This window comes from Homo sapiens, chromosome 7 (assembly GCF_000001405.40).
Source record: "Homo sapiens chromosome 7, GRCh38.p14 Primary Assembly".
Lineage (NCBI taxonomy): Eukaryota > Metazoa > Chordata > Mammalia > Primates > Hominidae > Homo > Homo sapiens.
The window spans coordinates 28,999,479-29,020,435 of record NC_000007.14 but is presented as its reverse complement, the minus strand read 5'-3'; the positions used below and the strand labels follow the sequence as shown (position 1 = coordinate 29,020,435).

General features: G+C 40.8%; 1 protein-coding gene and 1 long non-coding RNA gene across 22 annotated transcripts in view; one reads left to right on the top strand and one right to left on the bottom strand.

Annotated features, from left to right (window-relative positions):
• CPVL (carboxypeptidase vitellogenic like) overlaps positions 1 to 20,957 on the top strand; it is a 200,816-nt gene that overhangs the window by 175,016 nt on the left and 4,843 nt on the right. The gene's annotated exons all lie outside the window — the stretch shown is intronic.
• Positions 7,067 to 20,957, bottom strand: part of CPVL-AS2 (CPVL antisense RNA 2) — a 33,403-nt gene continuing 19,512 nt past the window's right edge. Inside the window, exons 3-5 of the long non-coding RNA NR_038965.1 lie at positions 19,381 to 19,467; positions 19,052 to 19,107; positions 7,067 to 10,413 (exon numbers count right to left, since the gene is read on the bottom strand). This is a non-coding gene — a long non-coding RNA (CPVL antisense RNA 2). The remainder of the gene's footprint in view (positions 10,414 to 19,051; positions 19,108 to 19,380; positions 19,468 to 20,957) is intronic.

The window sequence follows — 20,957 nt, the reverse complement described above, 5'->3', positions numbered from 1 at the left end:
AGTAATAGTCAGGATTCAGGAAAATATGTTTATTGAAAGTCAACATATAAGGGAAAGTTGGAATATTAATATTCAGGCCATTAAGGGCATATTTGAATGTTGAGCTGCCAGGGAGTGGTGGACATGTTACCTCCCCCCATCTGCTACACTACTTTGTGATAAACATCTCACCAGGCACACACACGATCTCCTCAAGATTATTTGATGGCTGCCTCCACCACCTGTTATTTTATATCCCCTGAACCAGCCTTGTGAAATGCTCCCAGGCCTGGCATCCCACATGTGTCCTGCTTGGCTCTTTGCATAAAACGTCCAGCTTGGGAGGCCAGATTGCTGCTTCAGGGCGACAAGTCCCACAGAGGTGGTAAAAGGAATTGGCCGCCAGTCAGAAACTGGTGGCAAATATCACACTCAACCCGCTGACTCTTCTTGTGAATGCAAAACACATTTAGAGATGAAATGGTACTCCTCTGGCTGCCAAAAAAACAAGTAACAAAAGAAGCAAGGCCCACATATGTTTGTGATAGTGAGTGTTTTACCACGCAGCAAGGGATCTGCATTTTGTATAGGTGATTTTAAAATGTTGGCAAAGATCCTTCCCCCTTAGTGCCTCAGCGTTGGTTTGGGGTGGTTTGTGGAGATGAGGGTTATGAGGAGGGAAAAGCACTCCCGTGTGAACAAAGGCATTCTCTGTGAGGTTTATCTAAGAATACTGTCCAAGTGTCAAGCGTCTGATAATGAAGAAAACGGACCTTAGCCATGGACTTGCTTTTCAGCATTAGACACACAAAACAGAAGCATGGGTATGTGTCTGCCAAAAAAGCAACCTCATTCTCTGCCAAACACTACAGCTCTTAATTTAAAAAATTGAAACCAAAGTAGACTTGTCTCTGGATGGTTACCTAAAATGTCCACTTAAAGAAATGACAGCTCTCCTAGGGGAGCAGTACGGTACCGAGAGAGGGAGCAATTTTCCCTGTGTATTCACATCAAGCCATGCCCAGAGAAATCAAACACAGCTCCCACCAGCCTTCAGAGATCCGATGAAGAGCAAGTGCTTCTTGTTCCTCCTTGTTGGCTCTGACCTAGAAGGTAATAAGTTTTTGGTATTGGTGCCATTTTAAGGATTGGACACTGCCCTGTTATATAATCCGAGCAGCAGACTTTCTGAGCGTCTGTCAAATTTAGAAGTTGTCTGTCAAATGCAAGGTCTGGACTAACTTATTTCTAAGATATCACCTAACAAAGATCCAAAATATCTATATTTCATTAATGCCCAGAGGGGCTCAGCCAGCAATGCAATGTGGAATAGTGTAGTGTCTTTCAGCAAATGTCATAATGCTCTCTATGCTTACATAGATATGTAAATATATATATATATATATTTATACCTATCTCTATATACCATATACCTATCTCTAGCCACTGAGATAGAAATATACACAAAATGTAAATCTCAGGCTACGTGATAACCAAAGTCATGGGTAGCCTCTGCACTGGCATTGACCATAAACCCTTACAAGTGTTATCTCTGGGTCCCAGAAGTTGAGTCCTCTTTCTCCTTGTCTGTTGACAACCCATGGCCATTGCTCTCAAGGCCACCCTTTTGGGATCTTTCTGTGCCTTTCTCCAAATATCAAAGTTGCTGTTCATTATCTGAGTTGATATTGTCACTGCATTTGAAATGTAGGACATTTTATTCTTAACATGCCAGCCCTAAGGAAGTTTTGACTCCACATTAAGAAATTTAAAACTTTGGCCGGGCAGGGTTGCTGACGCCTGTAATCCAAGCACTTTGGGAGGCTAAGGTGGGTGGATCACTTGAGGCCAGGAGTTCGAGACCAGCCTGGCCAACATGGTGAAACTTCATCTCTACTAAAAATACAAAAATTAGCCAGGCATGGTGGCACACGCCTGTAATCCCAGCTACTCGGGAGTCAGAGGCATGAGAATCGCTTGAACTTGGGAGGCAGAGGTTGCGGTGAGCTGAGATCGCGCCACTGCACTCCAGATTGGGCAACAGAGTGAGACCCTGTCTCAAAAAAAAAAAAAAAAAAGATTAAAAATTTTAATCGGAATAATAACCATACTGAGAAATTGCTTTAAGATTTTTTTTTTTAGAATAAATGTCATTAAGCTGAATGTCCTGGAGAAAGAAAACACTTCTGTTTTTTTCATCGTTATTTTATTGAAAATATCTTTATTGACACAAATTATTTTTCATATAAATATTGAAAAAATGTTGAGTCATTGAGCAGTTTTCATTTTTACCGAATCTTACTGGGTGTAGCTTCTATAATCATGAGTTTTGCATGATCTCCAACAGGCTGATTTTCCTGATTGCAATTTGAGCCCTTACTATTTTTATTTTATGTTTTCACTGTCAATATCAATTCCATTTTCTTCCAAAACTACAAGATGGATTATCTCGGCTAGGTTGTATTTAATGGCTGGAATGAATTTTAGGTCTCATTTTCCAGGGAAGGGAAACTGAAACCCAGAGGTTAAGTGACTTCCCTGAAGTATCCTACCCATTTCATGTCTGAGCTGAGGTTAGAGTCTTGGCTTACAGCCCAGAGATTCTCTACTTCACAAGCATATCCACTACTGGAATAATGGAATCACAGCAGTATGCTGGTACAGTTAAAATTGGAGCCTATATGCATGCCTACCATAATTAAAGCAGGGCCGAGAAATAATGTATTTCACATCTAGTGTTAGCTCTGAATCCACACCCAAGGTGACCACCTCCTATAGACAGAGAGAAGATTGGGGTTTTTTGTTTCATTTTGTTTTGTTTTTTGAGAGGGAGTCCTGCTGTGTTGCCCAGGCTGGAATGCAGTGGCATGATCTTGGCTTACTGCAACCTCCACCTCCCAGGTGCAAGTGATTCTCCTGTCTCAGCCTCCCAAGTAGCTGGGATTACAGACACACACCATCATGCCCAGCTAATTTTATATTTTTAGTGGAGATGGGGTTTCACCGTGTTGGCCAGGCTGGTCTCAAACTCCTGACCTCAAGTGATCCGCCTGCCTCGGCCTCCCAAAGTGCTGGGATTACAGGCGTGAGCCACCACGCCCAGCCGATTGGGTTTTTTACAAAGGCACTAAGATTTGGTGGTGAGGCCAGGTTCATATAATGTCAAGAAAAGTTATGGCTTTATCGGGGAACTTGTGATATTAAAAGAATGCATGCTGAAATTGGCCAAAATGAGCAGAGAGAATATGGTGGGCAGTGTCATGGATAAGAGAATATGGGGCAGGGCACAGGGCAGAGTGCATAGTCTGGCTCATAGCCTGCAGCTTGGAGAGTGAGAGGTGGGAGAGAAACCAGAATGGGAACATCAGGCCTGGATAGTAGACAAGGAGTGTGTGTTCCATTGTTTAAGCAGTGGGGAGCCATCAGAGGTTTGAAAGCACATTTTAAAAGCTGTTCTTTGGGAAGTTTATAATGGTAACTTTAGGATGAATTCAGGGTGAGGAAACTCTAGAAATAGGAAGTCATATAAGGAGCTTTATTGGAAGAAGATTCTCCATCTATTTAATACGTCCACCTTCTTGATATTGGTTTGGAAGTCCTGAAATAGAGGTCGTGGGGAATAAGGTTTGGAATGCCCAAGCTGTGAGGACTGATTCCCTGTTTGAGAGATGGTGTTCACTGTGTGTCCCCACCAACTTAAGATCACTGCATGCTGGCGTCCCTGGCACTTCCTCAATGGCCCTAGTAGGCATCCTCAGCCCCCTAAAGCACAAGCCCTGCACCAAGACTTGCACCTTGACCTTGACCTGGGTTTAGTATATGGAGCCCTCAGGCCCGTGGTCTGCCACACTGTGCTCAGGGGCTTCTCCCAAAATGTCCTGGTTTCCAACAGGAATCAGACCTTCAGCTAGAGGTTACATCTAGGGAAACCAAAGGGAAGGAGCACGCCACCCTGAAGCTTGACTGTTCTGGAAAGCCCTCACCAATTGGAGGGGGTCTATGACATGAGAAGAAGGTGGAGTTAGACAAACCTGGTTTAAACTTTCATTTTGCCGCTTGCTAGCTGTGGGCTGGTTACTGGTCCTGGAAACTTTTTTTTTTTTTTTGATATGGAGTCTCACTCTGTCATCCAGGCTGGAGTGCAGTGGCATGATCTTGGCTCACTGTAACCTCCACCTCCTGGGTTCAAGCGATTCTCCTGCCTCAGCCTCCCAAGTAGCTGGGATTACAGGTCCCCACCACCACATCTGGCTGATTTTTGTGTTTTTAGTAGAGACAGGGTTTCACCATATTGGCCAAGCTGGTCTCGAACTCGTGACCTCAGGTGATCCACCAGCCTTCGCCTCCCAAAGTTCTGGAATTACAGGCATGAGCCACCATGCTGGAAACTCTTGAGTGAGAACAGTTACTTCATAGGGGTGATGGGAAGGTCAAAAGAGATGATAAGGATGGCGACCGATGATTCCGCATCTGTGAGCTCTCAGGCCACGGTCTACCACACACTTTTTTAATCCACAATTTTGTGGAATCACAGTAGCTATCCTATAAACTATGTCATGTTATTTACTAACTCATAACTGAAGAAACAGAAGCTTCACCTGAAAAACTTGCTTAAGGCTTTGAACAGTAATAGTATCTGAGATTTGAAAATTCAAATTCTGACCTTTCCACCACCCCACAGTGTCTTTAAGTACCTGTGAGGGGAGTGCAGTGGGGAAGGATGAACTGTAGCCGGATCTAGGCTACATGCCCCGCTGTATTAGTCTGTTCTTGTACTGCTATAAGGAAATACCTGAGACAGGGTAATTTCTAAGAAAAGAGGTTTAATTGGCTCACAGTTCTGCAGGCTGTACGGGAAGCATGACGGCATCTCCTTCTGAAGAGGCCTCAGGGAGTTTCACTTATGGCAGAGGGCAAAGCTGGAGCAGATGAGAGCTAGCCGGGGAGATGCCACACACCTTTAAACCTTTAGATGACAAGATCTCGTGAGAACTCACTCAGTATTGCCAGGACAGCACCAAGGTAGACATGGTGGGGAAAGCACCATTCATGAGAAATCTGCCCCATGATCCAATCACCTCCCACCAGGCCCCACCTCCAAATTGGGGATTACCATTAGACAAGCAATTTGGGTGGGGACACAGATCCAAACCATACCACTGCCCTTGGGGTATGTGGTGATGGTGGCAAGGCGGTGGTGTGGTGGTGGTGGACAGAATATTTGGCAGCACATGCTAACCACCATAGAATACTTGTTCCCTAAATGAAAGAAGAGTTCTTAAAAGGAGGAGGATGGAGGAGGCATGGTTCATCTGCAGAAAGCAGTAACGACCACAGCTTCCTAATTGTGCTTTTCTAAAACTCACATTAACTTTTGTTTGTTTCTTGACTACACACAACTAGAATGTGGAGGAAAGAATGACTCTAGTCCTTCGAGTGGACGATCAGGCTAGGATTTGAACATTTTCACAGATAGTCCACAGAAGGAATGACAGACAGCTAGCCACCTGCCTTTCTCGGAATTACTGCTGACAATTCATTTTTTGTGTGTTTTATTAAGAATTTTAAACAGCTTAGGAAGCATTATGAATTGTTTCTGAAGGAACAGTTCCAGAAGGGTCTTCAGCAGGTCCTTGATAACATTGACATGGTCAGAGGAAGCAACAAGCAAAAAAATGTCACTTTTGCATTTGACTAGATGAGAGGGAAAGAGAAGTTTTCAAAAACATATTGAATGGAGGAAAATAACTGTTAAATAGGCTTAAGGCAATGATAATCAAATATAGTTAATTCCCTGGAAAAATGTTTTAGCTTTGGCTGGGCATGGTGGCTCACAACTGTAATCTCAACACTTTGGGAGGTTGAGGTGGGAGGATCGCTTGAGCCCAGGAGTTCAAGACTAGCCTGGGTGGGCAAGATAGTAAGACTCTGTCCCTACAAAAAAAAAAATTAAAAGAATTAACCAGGTGTGGTGGTGCAGGCCTGTAGTCCCAGCTACTTGGGAAGCTGAGATGGGAGGATCACTTGAGCCCAGGAGGTCGAGGCGCAGTGAGCTATGTTCACGCCACTGCACCCCAGCCTGGGCGTCAGAGTAAGACCCTGTCTCAAACAAAACAAAACAAAACAAAACAAAAAGCTTTGGCTTTGTTAAGGAAATCGGCAAACAGAGTCTTCATCTCCCCCACCAGCAGTCGCCTTCTACAATGATGGATGTCCTCTTTCACGGGTTCTTTGTCTCTATCTTCCAGACAGGGGCAAAGTTCCTCTGTCCACTTATGGAAATCTGACTGTGGGCAGAAAACCAGAACACAGTAATCAAACCACACCCCACCTCCCAGCCAGAGAGCTTCTCTGAAGTCACAGGTTAGGTCCTCCAAAAGCAGGCACTGAGGCAAAGTTTGGGGTGCAAATAGTTTGTTAGAGACCAACACCTGTGGAAGGAAGGGTATAGGAGCAAGACTGGACCAAGGGAGAAATAAAACTGTGATACAGGCCAGACAAACCAGGCAGGGAACTCTTGGGAGCATATTTTCTATCAGAGTGTCCCACACTGGGCCAAAATAGTGAGGCCTTTTATGCCCAGCTCATTGACTCACCAAATTTGGGCTGCCCCAGGAAGGTCATCATCTTGGGAAAGGCAGCTCTTTGCAGCTGAGGCAGACCCCGAAGGAGCTGACAGCTGGGGGCTGTCTGCTGAATGCACTCCCTGCAGTGGAGCAGCAAGTACATCCTTGAAGAGAGGTCCAGTGGGGTGCATCTCTATGTCTACCACAAAGGCCACCCAGATAATGTACTTGCTAGCTCTCATGGATTTGGGGGCAGGGAGTTGGGAGCAGCGGGAGCTGGTGGTTTGCCTAATATGGGAACTTGGTCTTTCTTTGTTTGCATGACATAAAATTTTGACTAAGCTCTCAGTGTAATTATGTCTTATATCTGCCTTAGAAAGATGGATCAGGCCTTGGTTTTTAACTCATATCAAGATTCCAAGATAGGCAAGATGGATCTTTCAGGAAAAGGATTAAAGAATCATCAGAAAATATTTCCCTTTTTCAGTTATTTATCATGGAATAATAAATCACTCCAAAACTTAGTGGCTTCAAACAATTTATTATTTCTCACAAATATGTGGATTGAGTGAGCTCAGCTGGGTGGGTCTGATTCAGATGGGGTAGGCTGAGGTCACATGTGCAGCTGCATTCAGCTGGGAGTTTGGCTAAAGCTGGGACATCCAAGATGATCTCCTCTCCTCCAGTGCTCTCTCCATACCACCTCTAATCATGTAGTGTCCTGGCCTGGACTTTTCCACAATACAGCAGGCTGGTGTTCCAAATGGAAAAGCAGAAGATGCCAGTCCTTTTAAGGCCTGTACTCAAAAGTCCCAGAACATTATTTCCATTTCATTCTCTCCTGGTCAATGCAAAACACAGAGCAAAGCAGATTCCTTTTGGTGGGAAGAATGGCAAAGAATCTGGAGCCATTTTTAATCTCCTCCTTTGCCCTAAACCAATGTGTCTCAACCTTTGCAGATACAGATTTCCACACCTGCTCTGTAGATACCCTGATTTTATTGGTCTGGGGTGGAACCTGGGCATTGGTATTGAAGCTTCAAAGAGGTTTCTAATATGTAGCCAGTTTGGGAACCCTAAACTATGATGTCTTTTGTCCCTCTATTGATAATGACATGGCTTCCATCTGGCAGGAACCCCCATGTGGCATATGTTTGGAGAAACTTTCATTCTGATTCCTGAAGTATGTTCTAAATCCATTTTTACTTACAAGCTAACCAGAAATTTGAGAACACAGTTTTACTCTTTACAAATCAGCCATTGACCTGAAGCATTGTCTCTGTCTTCCAGTCAGTAGTATCAACTGGTATGGCACTGGTTCTCTGAAATCATCAGCCAAAACCTTAATCTAAATTGTAGACTTCAGTCCCTGCCATGCACTGCAGGTTTACAAGTGGTCTTTGTTCTTTTTAATTATTGATAGATCACTGGCAATTTAGACTTGTAAGAAAACTCTTTTATTTGTTTAAAAGCATTAGTTTCCTTTTCCCAGCAGTTTTGTGCTGTACTGAAACAACGTGTTCCTGGTGTGCAGTGCTCTTAGATAGTAGTGTGTCTGTGTTGCCTTTCAACAAAGAAAAAACTACCAAGCACTGTCTGCTTTAAACATCATCCAGAGTGATGGTTTGCAGCAAAGATGTCCACTAGCCACAGTGAATTTTTTTTCTGGATAATAGATTCATACAATTCCATGTCAAAGCAAAGAAAAAAAAAGTGCCACATTTTAGACTGTGAAGTCTTATTATAAGTAAGCTCAGTATTTCCATTAGTTACTCATTAGGCTATTTAATAAGGATTCTTAACCTGGAGTAAGGGTCTGTGGTTAGGATTCAAGGAGTTGTCAGTGAACTTGGAAGGGAAAAAACTGCATCTTTATTTTCTCTAACCTCTAACTGAAATAGCATTTCCTTTCATTATGAATTGTGAAATTTCACATTTCCTTCCATTATAAATGTAGGCAACAAATCACAGTGGCACAGCAGTACCTTTGACTTTTGTCACCAATAGAAAGCAAAGACATTCTCATACCAAATACCACATACACTGTTATAGATATGTTGAAAACCTTTTATCCTTATCACTAAAATTAAAATTATAGTAGTTTTCAGACCCTCTGGTTTCTCCTACTGAATGTGCTAATATACAAGTATGTATGTGCTATCTCACAATTTTTTTTTACTGTTTTGATGATTTCAGTGGAGTGTTTCATTTGCAATCCTAGCAAAGCCTAGGATTTGATTTTAATTCACTGTATATTATCTATGTATATGTGTGGATGCATATGCACTCTGTATTAATTATGTATGTATTTATTTTAAGGCAGGGACTTGCCCTGTCACCTAGGCTGAAGTGCTGTAGCACCATCATGGCTCACTTTAGCCTTGAACTCCCAGGCTCAACAAATCCTCCCACCTCAGCATCCCAGGTATCTGGGACCATAGGCACATGATACCACACCTGACTAATTTTTGTATTTTCTTGTAGAGATGGGGTCTTGCCATGCTGTTCAGCCTGGTTTCAAACTCCTGAGCTCAAGTGATCCTCTTGCCTTGGCCTCCCAAAGTCCTAGGATTATCGGCATGAGCCGCCATGCCCAGCCAGCATGCATTTAGAAACATTATTGTGAGAAGGTAGTCCACAGGCTGCACCAGACAGTCATAGGAGACTGTAGCACAGAAACAGATTAAGAACCCATGCATTAGGCTATTTGAATTGTTGAAAATAATTTATAGATTCTCCCCAGCCCAAATCACCTATCACCTTTGGTGATACCAGACAGATTTTATGAGCTAAACTATCAAGTAGGCTTGAATTTTGTTTCTAGTTGATTACACTGGCAATTCTAACTACTTTTGTTACCATATTCAAGTGACATTATAGTATAGGGATTAAGAGAATGGATACTGTGTTAGACTTGGAATAGATCCCTGCTCTACCATGTACCAGCTGTATGACCTTGGGCAAGTTACTTAACCTCTCCAAGAACCCCCTCACCTGTGAAATGGGGATAATATTATCACCCACCACTCTCACAGGAGGGTTCATTATTAGGATGAATTGAGATAATGCTTATAAATTACTTGACCCTCTCTCTACCTGGCACCTAATAAGCATAAAATAAATGTTGGTTTCTATTGCCATTAGGGAGCTCTCTTAGCATTAATCTATTTTCACAGGGCAAGAACCTCTTGCTCTGTTCATAGAGTCCTTAAGAGACATTTTGTATTAAAGTTTCAGATGATGAAATGAGTTCAATATTGTCTGTCAGATAGGCCTGAAACTACCACAGCTGTATCCAGTTTTAACTTGACTTTAACAAAGAGACTGTCTTGTCAAAAGGTAGTAGTAGCAGAGAGGGATGGGGCGGTGTTGGACATTTTGCTATATGACAGCCTAATAGGAAATAAAAGTGGCTGAATTGAGTAATGAGTTGTTTCTAAAGCATTGAGTCCCTTCTAGTTTAACAATAATTTGAAACATCCCTGTTGACAACAAATGAGGTGCATCCAGCCTTTTTTTTTTTCTTTTTCTCCTGTTTGTACTGAGCTTCTAACATATGGAAGACAGGAAATATAGGAGCTTACATTTAGAGAGTAAAAAACTATCAAAACAAAACAAAAAAAAAATTTGGCAACTTATTGCTCTTCTGCTGTCCAGCATGGAGATGTGGGTATTTATTTTTGTTCCTAATATTTATTTTTTTATACAGCAACCAGAGTCCCAAGGTTTAGATTCTGGCACCGGCTCTGTCATCTTAGAGCTGCTTGCCAGAGGGGGACTTCCCACTTTTGACTTTGTTTCAGTTCAATTGCTTCTCCAGGCCTTCCCCACATACTGTTTTTCAGACATGGGGCCAATCTCATCATCTCTGTGTAGGGGAGAAGAAAAAAGCACAGCAGAGAACATGTTAAATTTCCTAAAGATTCATTTTTGCAAGGATGGCAGCATCAGCAGGTGGTTTTTCTTTTCTTCTTTTAAATTTAAAATTGAATACATACCAAAGAATATTTACCATGCTGTCTAAGATAAAACAGTGATAAATGAACACTTTTGTACTCACCAGCTGGTTTAAAAAATACGACATTGCCCTTCCTAATTACCCCTGGAGGTAGACTACTGTCCTGAATTTTGCTTTTACCATCCCCTTTCTTTTTTCTTTGTTAATAGTTTTACTGCAGACATACGTATCCATATATAATATTTTACTTTTCATGTTTAATTTTATAGAAAAGAAATTATTCTGTATGTATTTTGCAAAAACATACTTTTGCTATTCAACGCTGTATGTGAGATTCACCCATGTTGATATGCTCAATTGTGTCTTATTCTTTTTCATTGCTGCATAGTATTTCATCATATACGTGTTATTCACCCATTCCACTGCCGATGGACATTTGGGTTGTTTTCAGTATTTTGCTTCTACAGATAGTGCTGCTATGGACATTTTTGCACATATCTCCTTGTGTCTGTGTCAGCCTCACTAGATAATGTTAAACTGTTTTCCAAATTGATTATTCTTGCCGGTAAAGTATAAGAGTTCTGATTATTCCATGATCTCAGCAAACACTTGGACTTGCCTCTAGTTCTTTCACCTGAGCTTATTAAATTAAAGGAAGGCTTACTGTCCTTTCTCACGTCTAAAAGTCATGGTTTGTATTCTCTTTCCATAGCTGTCTCCTGTCTTTTTTTTTTTTTTTTTTTTTAATGCCATCAAATTGAAGGACTCTGGCATACACACACACAGCGAAGGCAGAGTGGACATTTCACATCCAAGTCCGGGTGGTTATGTAGGTTCATTTTTCTTCTGGGTGTCCTGTGCTGAGGTTGGCTAGCAAAATATCCAGCTCAAAAAAAAAATCAGAAAGTTATTCCCTTAGCACCTTTTCAATTCAACTCTGCCAACAGTGGCTCAGTAAGAAGCAGCAAGTAAATAAAATCAACAGATTTCAGCTTATGCCTTGGGCTCGCCAGCAATCCCCAGACCACAGGGAGAAAATGAATCTTTTTCTCACAAAATTCCTCTCACTCCCATCACTTTTCCATTGAAACAACAAGGCAGAGAAGTTACTTTATTGACTTGCTTTCCTGTGAGTCTTACCAGAAAATGAAGAATAATAGTAATTGGCAAATACTACCCACCCAGTTCCTTAGCTAGCACTTCTCACATCTGCTTTATGATATCCTTGCTGGCCTGATTTTATTCATTTCCTAGTGCTCGGCATAGAAACCACAAGAACTAGCAAAAAAGAAAAACACTGCATTTATATAAACCAATAAAACTAGTGAGCATTTTGTGGACATTAAAAGAAACATGAGGGCTATCCCACATTATAAATTTCAAAATGCAAGTTTTTGCCTTGTGGTATTTTAAAAGTTTTAAGATGCTATTCAGGAACACTCTCAATAACTGTTTTAAATTGTTGTCGTTTAAACGTTTTTTCCTTTTCCAATATCCCACTTGCCTAGTCTTAACTAGTCTCCTTCCTCACCAATCTGCCCTTCTGTGCTTTTTCCAAAATGCAAGTTTAACTGTGGTTGTTTTCCTTGTTTAAAACCACTCACTAACTCTGATACCTGCAGGATAAAGTCCTAACTCTACCTGGATTAATGAAAAGATTTGATCTGGCCTCTGTTTCCTTTCCCAACCTTAACTCTTACCCTCTCCCTCCTTTGCAATTAAAATGTTGAAAAACAAAATACCATATCATCCCCCAAACATGCACCCAGAAATTCACATGGGATTCCCTCCTCTTGCCTTGTGAGGCCCTTTGTACTCCTCTGACACACCTGGAAAACTCCCATTTGCCTTTCATTCTTGGCAATCTTGGTATGCTTGATCTTTCCCCACATTACCTCCTTCTTGGCAACTCTCTCCATCTACGTACATCTCCTATTGTATGTACTACACTGGGGTTTCACACTTCAACTCTTTAATTGCCTTCCTCCTCTACTCGATGCTAAGTTCCTTGAGGACAGGAATAATTTATTTTAAAAATATTCATTTATTTTTGTAGCATACCCCTTAGCACAGTTCTTGGCACTGAGTAAATGTTCAGTGAATTAAAATCAAATCGGCCTCTACCTCATTCCCATGCCCCTCTCCTTTGCCTCTGACTGTGTGTGTGTGTGTGTGTGTGTTTTAATACTACATCTCTCAAGGAGTGTCATGATTGTTCACCAGTTGTACACACCAAAGTGTCTTGGAGGAAACAGAGTAGACATGCTGAGATAATGAACAGTTCAAAACAATTCCCTTCAAACTAAAGACTACACTGTTTATGTCAGCTAAAGACTATTTCCTTTCTGTGTTGCATGGGAGAAAAAATGAGAAATATTCTGGGACACAAATTTATAAAAGGAGTTGTAGAAATTTCATTACCTCAGTGCTGACTAGAGCATCCTCTCCTTTAAAAATAATTGAATTCCTGGTTTTTGTTTTTTTCCCTTCTCTTAAAAACCACACAGCTTGCTTCCTGAAGACAAAGGAAATAATAAACAATAGCAACTCCCAATTTGACTCTGATTATTTGCCAAAAGTCTTCTTAGTTCATGTGGTTCTATTTCATTAGAGAGGACCGATTAGCATAAGAAGAATGCTTCTAAATTAAGCTACCCAAATATGCACTTAGTTAGTACTCTGGGAGCTAATTTATTGTATTATTTAAAATATAAATTGGCTAGCAAATCTATTTATTGAGGTGTAACAGCTAGGCAACAATGCGTAACTTTCTCTTGGCTGTTGAGTGGTTTTTAATCATCTATTGAAATTTAACAGAGAGCCATTTCATTAAATGGAAAGCGGATAAATACTGAGAAGTCTGTATTTTAGAGTATTATCCACACATGGAGAATGATATTTGAGGAACAAAGAGGGAATTGGGATTTGCTTTTTAAACAGTAACTTTTTGTTGTTTTAATTTGAAGTGTAACCAAAGACTCACAAAATCACTTGTGGGGATGTTAAAGCAAGAAATAAACAAATAAGGCGGAAGATGGAGTAGGGTAGAGAAATAGAGGGATGGAAAAAATTGTGTTAAGATAGTGCTACGTTGTCAATTAGACTAATGCAGTATTTTTGCCTTGTACAGTTTTGGGGTTGGCAGTAAAAACTATGTACCTTGTTTTATTTTAACAAATGGCATCATGAAAATATCATGCTATTTGGCATGCTGTGTATTCTAAATTCCCAGAACCTAGAGACATTTAGGGGTTCTGGGGTTCCCTTAGGCTGTGAGTCGAGAACATAGTTGAATCCAGATACCCTGTCTGGTCTGGAGTTCTCCTAAACAGATCAGCTCTGGAGCATCTCATGGTGCTCTGATATAAATGGAAGAGTCTTGTAGATGTTGTAGCATGGTCTTGAAATTCTATCATTGTCACTTATACTAGAACTCAGTGAGGGTAGGCAGAAATGGAAACAAGTGACAGGCCTTTCTCACCTTTCTGCAAATTTTTGAAATCTGGCTCATCTGATTTCCAGAGCCAAGGTTTCAAAGAAGTTTTAGACCTTGTAATTTACGATAGGTGGATGTTCCTTAGGTTCACGTTGGAAAGAAGAAGAATGTCAGAATGTTTCCTCTTTCCCCAGGACAGCCAAAATGTCAGAGAACCAGGAGTCTGAGGGTAAACTGAAGAGAGAGGGCACTGATTTGTAGTATTTGCCAATTTCCATAGTGTAAATACTCTCACGCAGCCAATTTCAAGCTACCAACTTCACACCACTAAACATGGAGTTGGGCAGCAATGTGCACAGTTGGTTCTCCTGATCCAGTGAGGGAGTGCCCACACACTGCTGCTAGAACTATCTTGCATTGCTGTCTGCAGGAAGTAAATCTTTAGCAGGTTAGCCGGCTCTTGTTTCCATGGTACACAGAAGATGATGAGTCAGGATCTAAGTCCTTGCAGCACTCCTGGCGAGAGCATTTACTGCTATAACCTCTGCCCCTTCCTCCCCCACTCTTATTCTCTCTTCCAAAAGAAAACTACAAATGTAGATCATAAAGCTAGATATTGAGTAAGTATAAATAATGAACTGGATTGTGCTTTTTATCCTCTTGTGGATATCAAGTATAAAAACTGGACAGGGAAGGAGAGAATGAGGATGGGAAATCTTGATTACTTTTTAATTGCATCAAATCCTGTGTGGTAAAGTGGGTTCCTAAAAGGGGAAAAAGACAGAACAGTTTTTTGCCATTCTGCTACGACAAGTAAGGTCTTGCTTTCCTGGCATTTCTGTGTAGGAAGAAGAGGGTGTTTGGCATTGCATGTGGTGAAAGGGGAGAGAGGGTGGAGGGAAAGAATGGGATGGATCATGGCATTGGCAGGGATAAAACTCACTGTAGACACAGTTAAGTTGAGTGCAGTGACAGAGGTTTGCTTTCACATTCAAGCTGCTTCATTAATTTCATTGGGGCCTTTTCCAAGGAAAGGGAGGATTCATAAAAGGGAAATCAAAGAAGCCTGGAAAAGAAACATTTCCCCTTCTGAAGACTGTATTATAATCCTTTTTTCTGAAAAAGTACAGTAATGAATGTTATATTTATTAGTGCTGTAATTTCTCCTCTTCACTTCTTAAAGGGAAAAAAATACTCTGTTTGTCATAAAAACTCTGATAATAGTAGTAGAGTGACCACTGGTTGAGTCCTTATTATCTTTGTAATACACTGGCACATGGTACAAACTTAAGACATATTTGTAATGGGCCAGGCGCGATGGGTAATCTCAGCACTTTGGGAGGCCGAGGCAGGAGGATCCCTTGAGCCCAGGAGTTTGAGACCAGCCTGGGGAACATGGTGAAACCCCGTTTCTACTGAAAATACAAAAAAAATTAGCTGGATGTAGTGGCGTATGCCTGTAATCCCAGCTACTCGGGAGGCTGAGGCACAAGAATCACTTGAACTCAGCAAGCAGAGGCTGCAGGGAGCCAAGATCACATCACTGCACTCCAGCCTGGGCCACAGAGTGAGACCCTGTCTCAAAAAAAAAAAAAGAAAAGAAAAGAAAAAAAAGACATATTTGTAGACCAGATGCCCTGCATCATTTTATAAGTATTGTCTCTGAATCCTTACAAAAAGTTATTCATAGAGTAAGCAACCATTCCAGATTGCCTGACCCTTTTTTACTTTTAGCACTCAAAGCCCTATGTTCCCAGAAACCTCTTGGTCCTAGGCACAGTGCGACAAGTGGTCACCCAAATTCTTATCCCCATTTTACAAATGAGAAAATAGAGATAGTTAAGTCATTATGCCAAAGTCACAGAACTGGGCTCAAACCCTGAGCTACCAAATCCCAAGTCCGTGCTCTTAACCATCAGGCCAAATGGCTTCCTATTATCCTGTACTCTGCTTTTAGATTTTCATTAACTATACTGCCCAAGGAAAGAGAAAGCTTCAACTTCAATAATTCATCCCAACCTTGCTGAAATTAACACAGAAATTCTTGGAGTTAATACAGAGAAAATTTTCCATGACTTTTTTTTTAATAGACACGTTCAAAGCACGTCTAACTGATCTGGTGAAATAAGGCTAACAGATTTGAGTGAAAGGTCTTCACCTCTCAGGTGTTCATTCTGTATCTCTCTAAAAGGAAGGAACGTATCACAAGATTTCTTCTCATTTGAGTACCCTGATTGTCAGAAGTCTGTTTCTCATATCATGCAGTAATGCCCCTTCCACTTACTCTCATCCTTTTATTCAATCTATTATTTGGAAGTCATACTGCCCTCCCCTTTTACCACTATTAACTTGATAATAGTAGATTATTTTATCTATCCTTTATGTTTATGTAGAGATTATGACATATATCCTGATTTAAGAAAGTCAGCTTTGAGTCAATACATTTACCATTGTCCAGATATAAAAGTGTACCTTACAACAGGGGCCCCCAATCCCTCGGTCACAGACTGGTAACTGTTTGTGGCCTTTTAGGAAGCAGGCCACACAGCAGGAGGTGAGTGCAGGCAAGCATTACTGTCTGAGCTCCGCCTCCTGTCAAATCAGTGGCAGCATTAGATTCTTATAGGAGGGGAACCCTATTGTGAACTGCGCATGTGAGGGATCTAGTTGTGCGCTTCTCATGAGAATCTAATGCCTGATGATCTGAAGTGGAACAGTGTCATCCCCAAACCATCCCCCACTCCCCAACACTGTGCATGGAAAAACCGTCTCCCACAAAATTGGTCCCTGGTGTCAGAAAGGTTGGGGACTGCTGCCTTACAACACTTTAACTCACTTTACACCCTTTTTGTGCAAGTACTGTCTTTTGAAAAACTTCTACATAGTTCAAACTCCAGAAGACATTATTAATTATTGATACTCCTTACTTGTGTTCACATATGTAAATTCTCAGTTGCTGTTCATTCTCCTCTGCATTTTCATGTTTCCATTACGGATAATTTTCCTTCTGTCTGAAGAACAGTCTTTCGTACTTCTTTTAGTGCAGGTCTGCTGACAAAAACCTTTTCCAATTTTTTGTTTCCTTGAAAATATCTTTACAAGGTCTTCATTTCTATACAAGTTCTAGGTTGGCAGATATTTTATTTAAGAACTTTCAAGATATTATTTCACTGTCTTCCAGCTTTCATTGTTTCTGTTGAATAGTCAGTTTTCTTGCTGCTTTGAAGGTACTGAAAGTACTGTTTCCTTTTCTGTGACAGCTTTTAAGATTTTCTCTGTCTTTGCTTTTAGCAAAATGCTATTCTCTCTGTGTGTGTGTGTGTGTGTGTGTGTGTGTGTGTGCACATACACATACTATAGTGTAATATACTATTACTAATATACTATTATGTGTACTATGATGTGGTTAGTTTGCTTTGTGTTTATTCTATCTAGGATTCATAGAGCTTCTCAAAACTGGCTTGGTAACTTTTGTCAATTTTGGAAATTTTTCAGTCAGTATCTCTGAATGTTACTATTTGTTTCTTTTGCCCCATTTCTTCCTTATCATTTTATCCTAAAATTCCAGTTAAACATAAGTTAAATGTTTCATGGTTTCATGTCGTCTTCTTCTTCTTTTTTTTTTTTTTTGAATTTTCATACCTTTATTCTCCATGCTTCAGTCTGGATATCCTCTACTGACCTAACTTCCAGTTCATATAGTGTTTCTTCTGCATGCCTAATCTATTGCTAAAACATCGATCGAGTTCTTAATTTCAATGAACAATGAATGAGTAACTTTTTAGTTAAAGAACTTCCATTTGATTCTCTTGTATATATTCTAATTATCTTGTGAATTATTTTTCTATACCTAACATCTTGCATATTTTGTTCACAGTTACTTTAAAATGTGTACCTGGTAACTCTAATATCTGGATCATTTGTGGTCTCTGTTATCTTTTTTTCTCCTTAAATTTTAGTCATTGCTCTTGTTCTTTGTCATGCCTATTAAATTTTATTAAATGTTGAAGAAAATGTACAAAAAATATATGAAGAAAAATGTTATTTTTCTTCCAAAAGGATTTAATTTTTTCTAGAAGGCATACAGAGTAGAGGCATATCACCTTGATAAAGTTTGGGATTGAGACGATTGATTCAGTGCTTGATTTCAAGGTTTGTGAGGACTAACCTGTTTCTGGTTTGTTATTACTTCCAAGGCATTGTCTTTCACGGATCTGATGGAAAGCCTGCAGTGCTTACCAGTGCTGTCCCTCCTTGACAGGCTTGCAACTCCAATTTTTTGTTGTTGTTGTTTCTTTTGGGGTTTTCTTTGTTTTTGTTTTTTGGTCTCTCAAGCACCGTAAGACTAATGAGCTTTTCATTCTCTTATCTGCCGCTTTTGACTTGGCGTCTTGGTCAGAGAAGCTTAAAAATTGGTGAATTTCCCAAAGGGAAAAGCAGCACAAAATGTTAGGCTCACTTCCTTGTGATTCCCTTTTCTCTACGATCATGGCCTCTCTCAAGGCTTGGTTGCTCTCTGATACCTTTAAACAGCTTATTTTCTTTTTAATTCAGCTTCTATTGTTTTCTGTGGAATAAGATTGGTTTGGTACATGCTATTGTGTCACAGTCAGAAGTGGAAGTCCTAAATTACAAACAGTATTGTTGCAACTGATTAAGATGGTGTACATAGGAAGCCCCTTGGGGATGTTGTAAAGGAGCACCAAAAGTTTTAACTGCTCTAGAATATGTACCATTATGATGGCTACATGTGGGTCTCCTGAAGCACCTAGAAGCTCCTTTTCTCATTCTATTCAATAACCATTTGCTACACCAGAGGTGTACAGTGGGAGACCTCAAGAATCGTTTCCCTGAGTGCTGTTGAAGCAACTCCCAGCCTTGATCTCTGCTGTTTTTTCATTCTTTCGAAAGTGACTTATTGCATTCTTTGTTAGGAAGTGTCTGCTAACAAGCTTTGGCTTGTTTTTTATTCTCGTTCCCAAGTACCTTTTCAATATATTTTTATTTGAATGCTATTTACGTTATTTCTACTTATAGTTAGTGTCTGAAAGCAAACTAAAAGATAAGATTTAGTAAATGTGGAATGGCATAAAAGTAGTGAAAAGAACTTACATGTAAATCAGAAACCACAACAAGCAGATTCTCTTGAGGGTATGCATCTTTCTATACTGGAAAGCAGAAACAATAAACCAATCCTACATATTCTGCCTGCCAAACTTGCAGCTCCCATGTGGCTCTTTTCTCTTTCCTGGTGAGTAGCACCACCTTTGCAAATCTGCCCATGTCAGAAGCCTGAAATGGGGAGGATTTGTTGGGGATGGGTAGAGAAAGTCTCACTTAACCTTTATATCGGATTAATCACTGATTTTATTGGTTCCATCTTACTACCCTCTTCTCCTTCCCCTTCTCCCCATCCCTCCCATGAGCCCACATCCTCTCACCTGATTTGGTAGTCTCCTAATTTGCCTCCTTGTACCAGTATGACTCCCTTCCAAATTAGCCTTCTCCTTAGACATTAAGTCATTTTTCTACAATGCAAACATAAGCATGTCACTACCCTACTTAAAACCCTCTAGGATATATCCAGAATAGGCAAGTCTATAGAGACAGAAAGCAGATTAATGGTTGCCAGGGGCTGATGGGGAGAGGGGGAGTGGGAAGTGATTACTGATGTATATGGGTTTCCTTTGGGGTGGTGAAAATATTCTGCAACAAGATAGTGTGAATATACTAAATGCTACCGAATCATACGCTTTAAAATGGTTAAAGTGGTAATTTTATGTTAAGTGTATTTTACCACAGTTGCTTTTAAAGCCCGATAGGATAAGGTCCACTCATCCCAGCATGTCACTTGGGGCATCACATGGTCCCACTAGCGTTTGCCTGTTCATCTGTCTCTTCTGTTTCCCTCTATTCCTGCATGAATGGGACGACATACAGACTGCTGCATGCGCCCGCAGCTTCACGGCCCCTGCATTTCCACACAGAATTTCCTTTGTCTGCGGTGATCCCTCTGCTGCACGTGCCCACAGTTTCATGCCCCTGCATTTCCATGCCTCCTGCATTTCCACGCCTCCTGCATTTCCACACACAGTTTCCTCTGTCTGCGGTGATCCCTCCACCCCCACCCCACCCACCCACCACTCTCCGTCCAGTGATCTCCTTCAAGACCCCCAAGAAGCTTCCCCTGACACATCTACATCAACAAGCCCACTGTGAACTTCCCTCTCTTTTCTGTCATCTAAACAGGCACAACTGGGAAACCTTTACTGGCAGGTCTTTGTTTCTAGTTCCAGGGAGAATTATATTGTTTTCTAAAAAATAAAGTGGAATGAAGCTTTAAAGTGTTTGTATAACCCTGTTGAAATTCATGACACATTTGTGACCCCCTGGAACATCTGGAACACATGAAGTTAGAGGCTGCAGCTCTAGTGTGGAGGCACCCAAAATAGACAGTTCTATTCAGGGAGCCCTGAGATTAATCTTGTCACATTTAAATACGTAATTACAGCCCTGACACATTTTGTTACTCACCTCTAAAAGCTGCCAAGTGGTCTGTTATCTTTGATTTGTGAATGGTGAGTGGCTTGATTATAAACAAGAGTGGTTTATTTTTCCACACTCAAAAATATATTTATTTTTGAAGTTAATATCAGTAAAATGCTGTATGTGAATCTGCTTAAGAATATGCTTTGTTTGGGAATTTTGTGGCATGTGAAACAACTTTGTCCCTTAACAAGCTTTCTCTTCCCGCAATATTAATGACACAATTTACAATGCCATTAGGGTCATTACACATGGCAGCTCAGAAATTGGACCAGGGTCAGGTAGGTCACTGAGAGGAAGAGTAAGAACACCTGACCCCTTCAGCGCTCCTTCACCACTTGATAATTATGGACAGGGAAGGTGTGTGTGAGTGCGCATGTGCGTGAGTAAATACCAGGAGAGCGGATACCCAGGAAGTGAGGTCATGAGTAGGTATTAAACAAATTTCTACTTGTATTCATGAGTAGGTGTT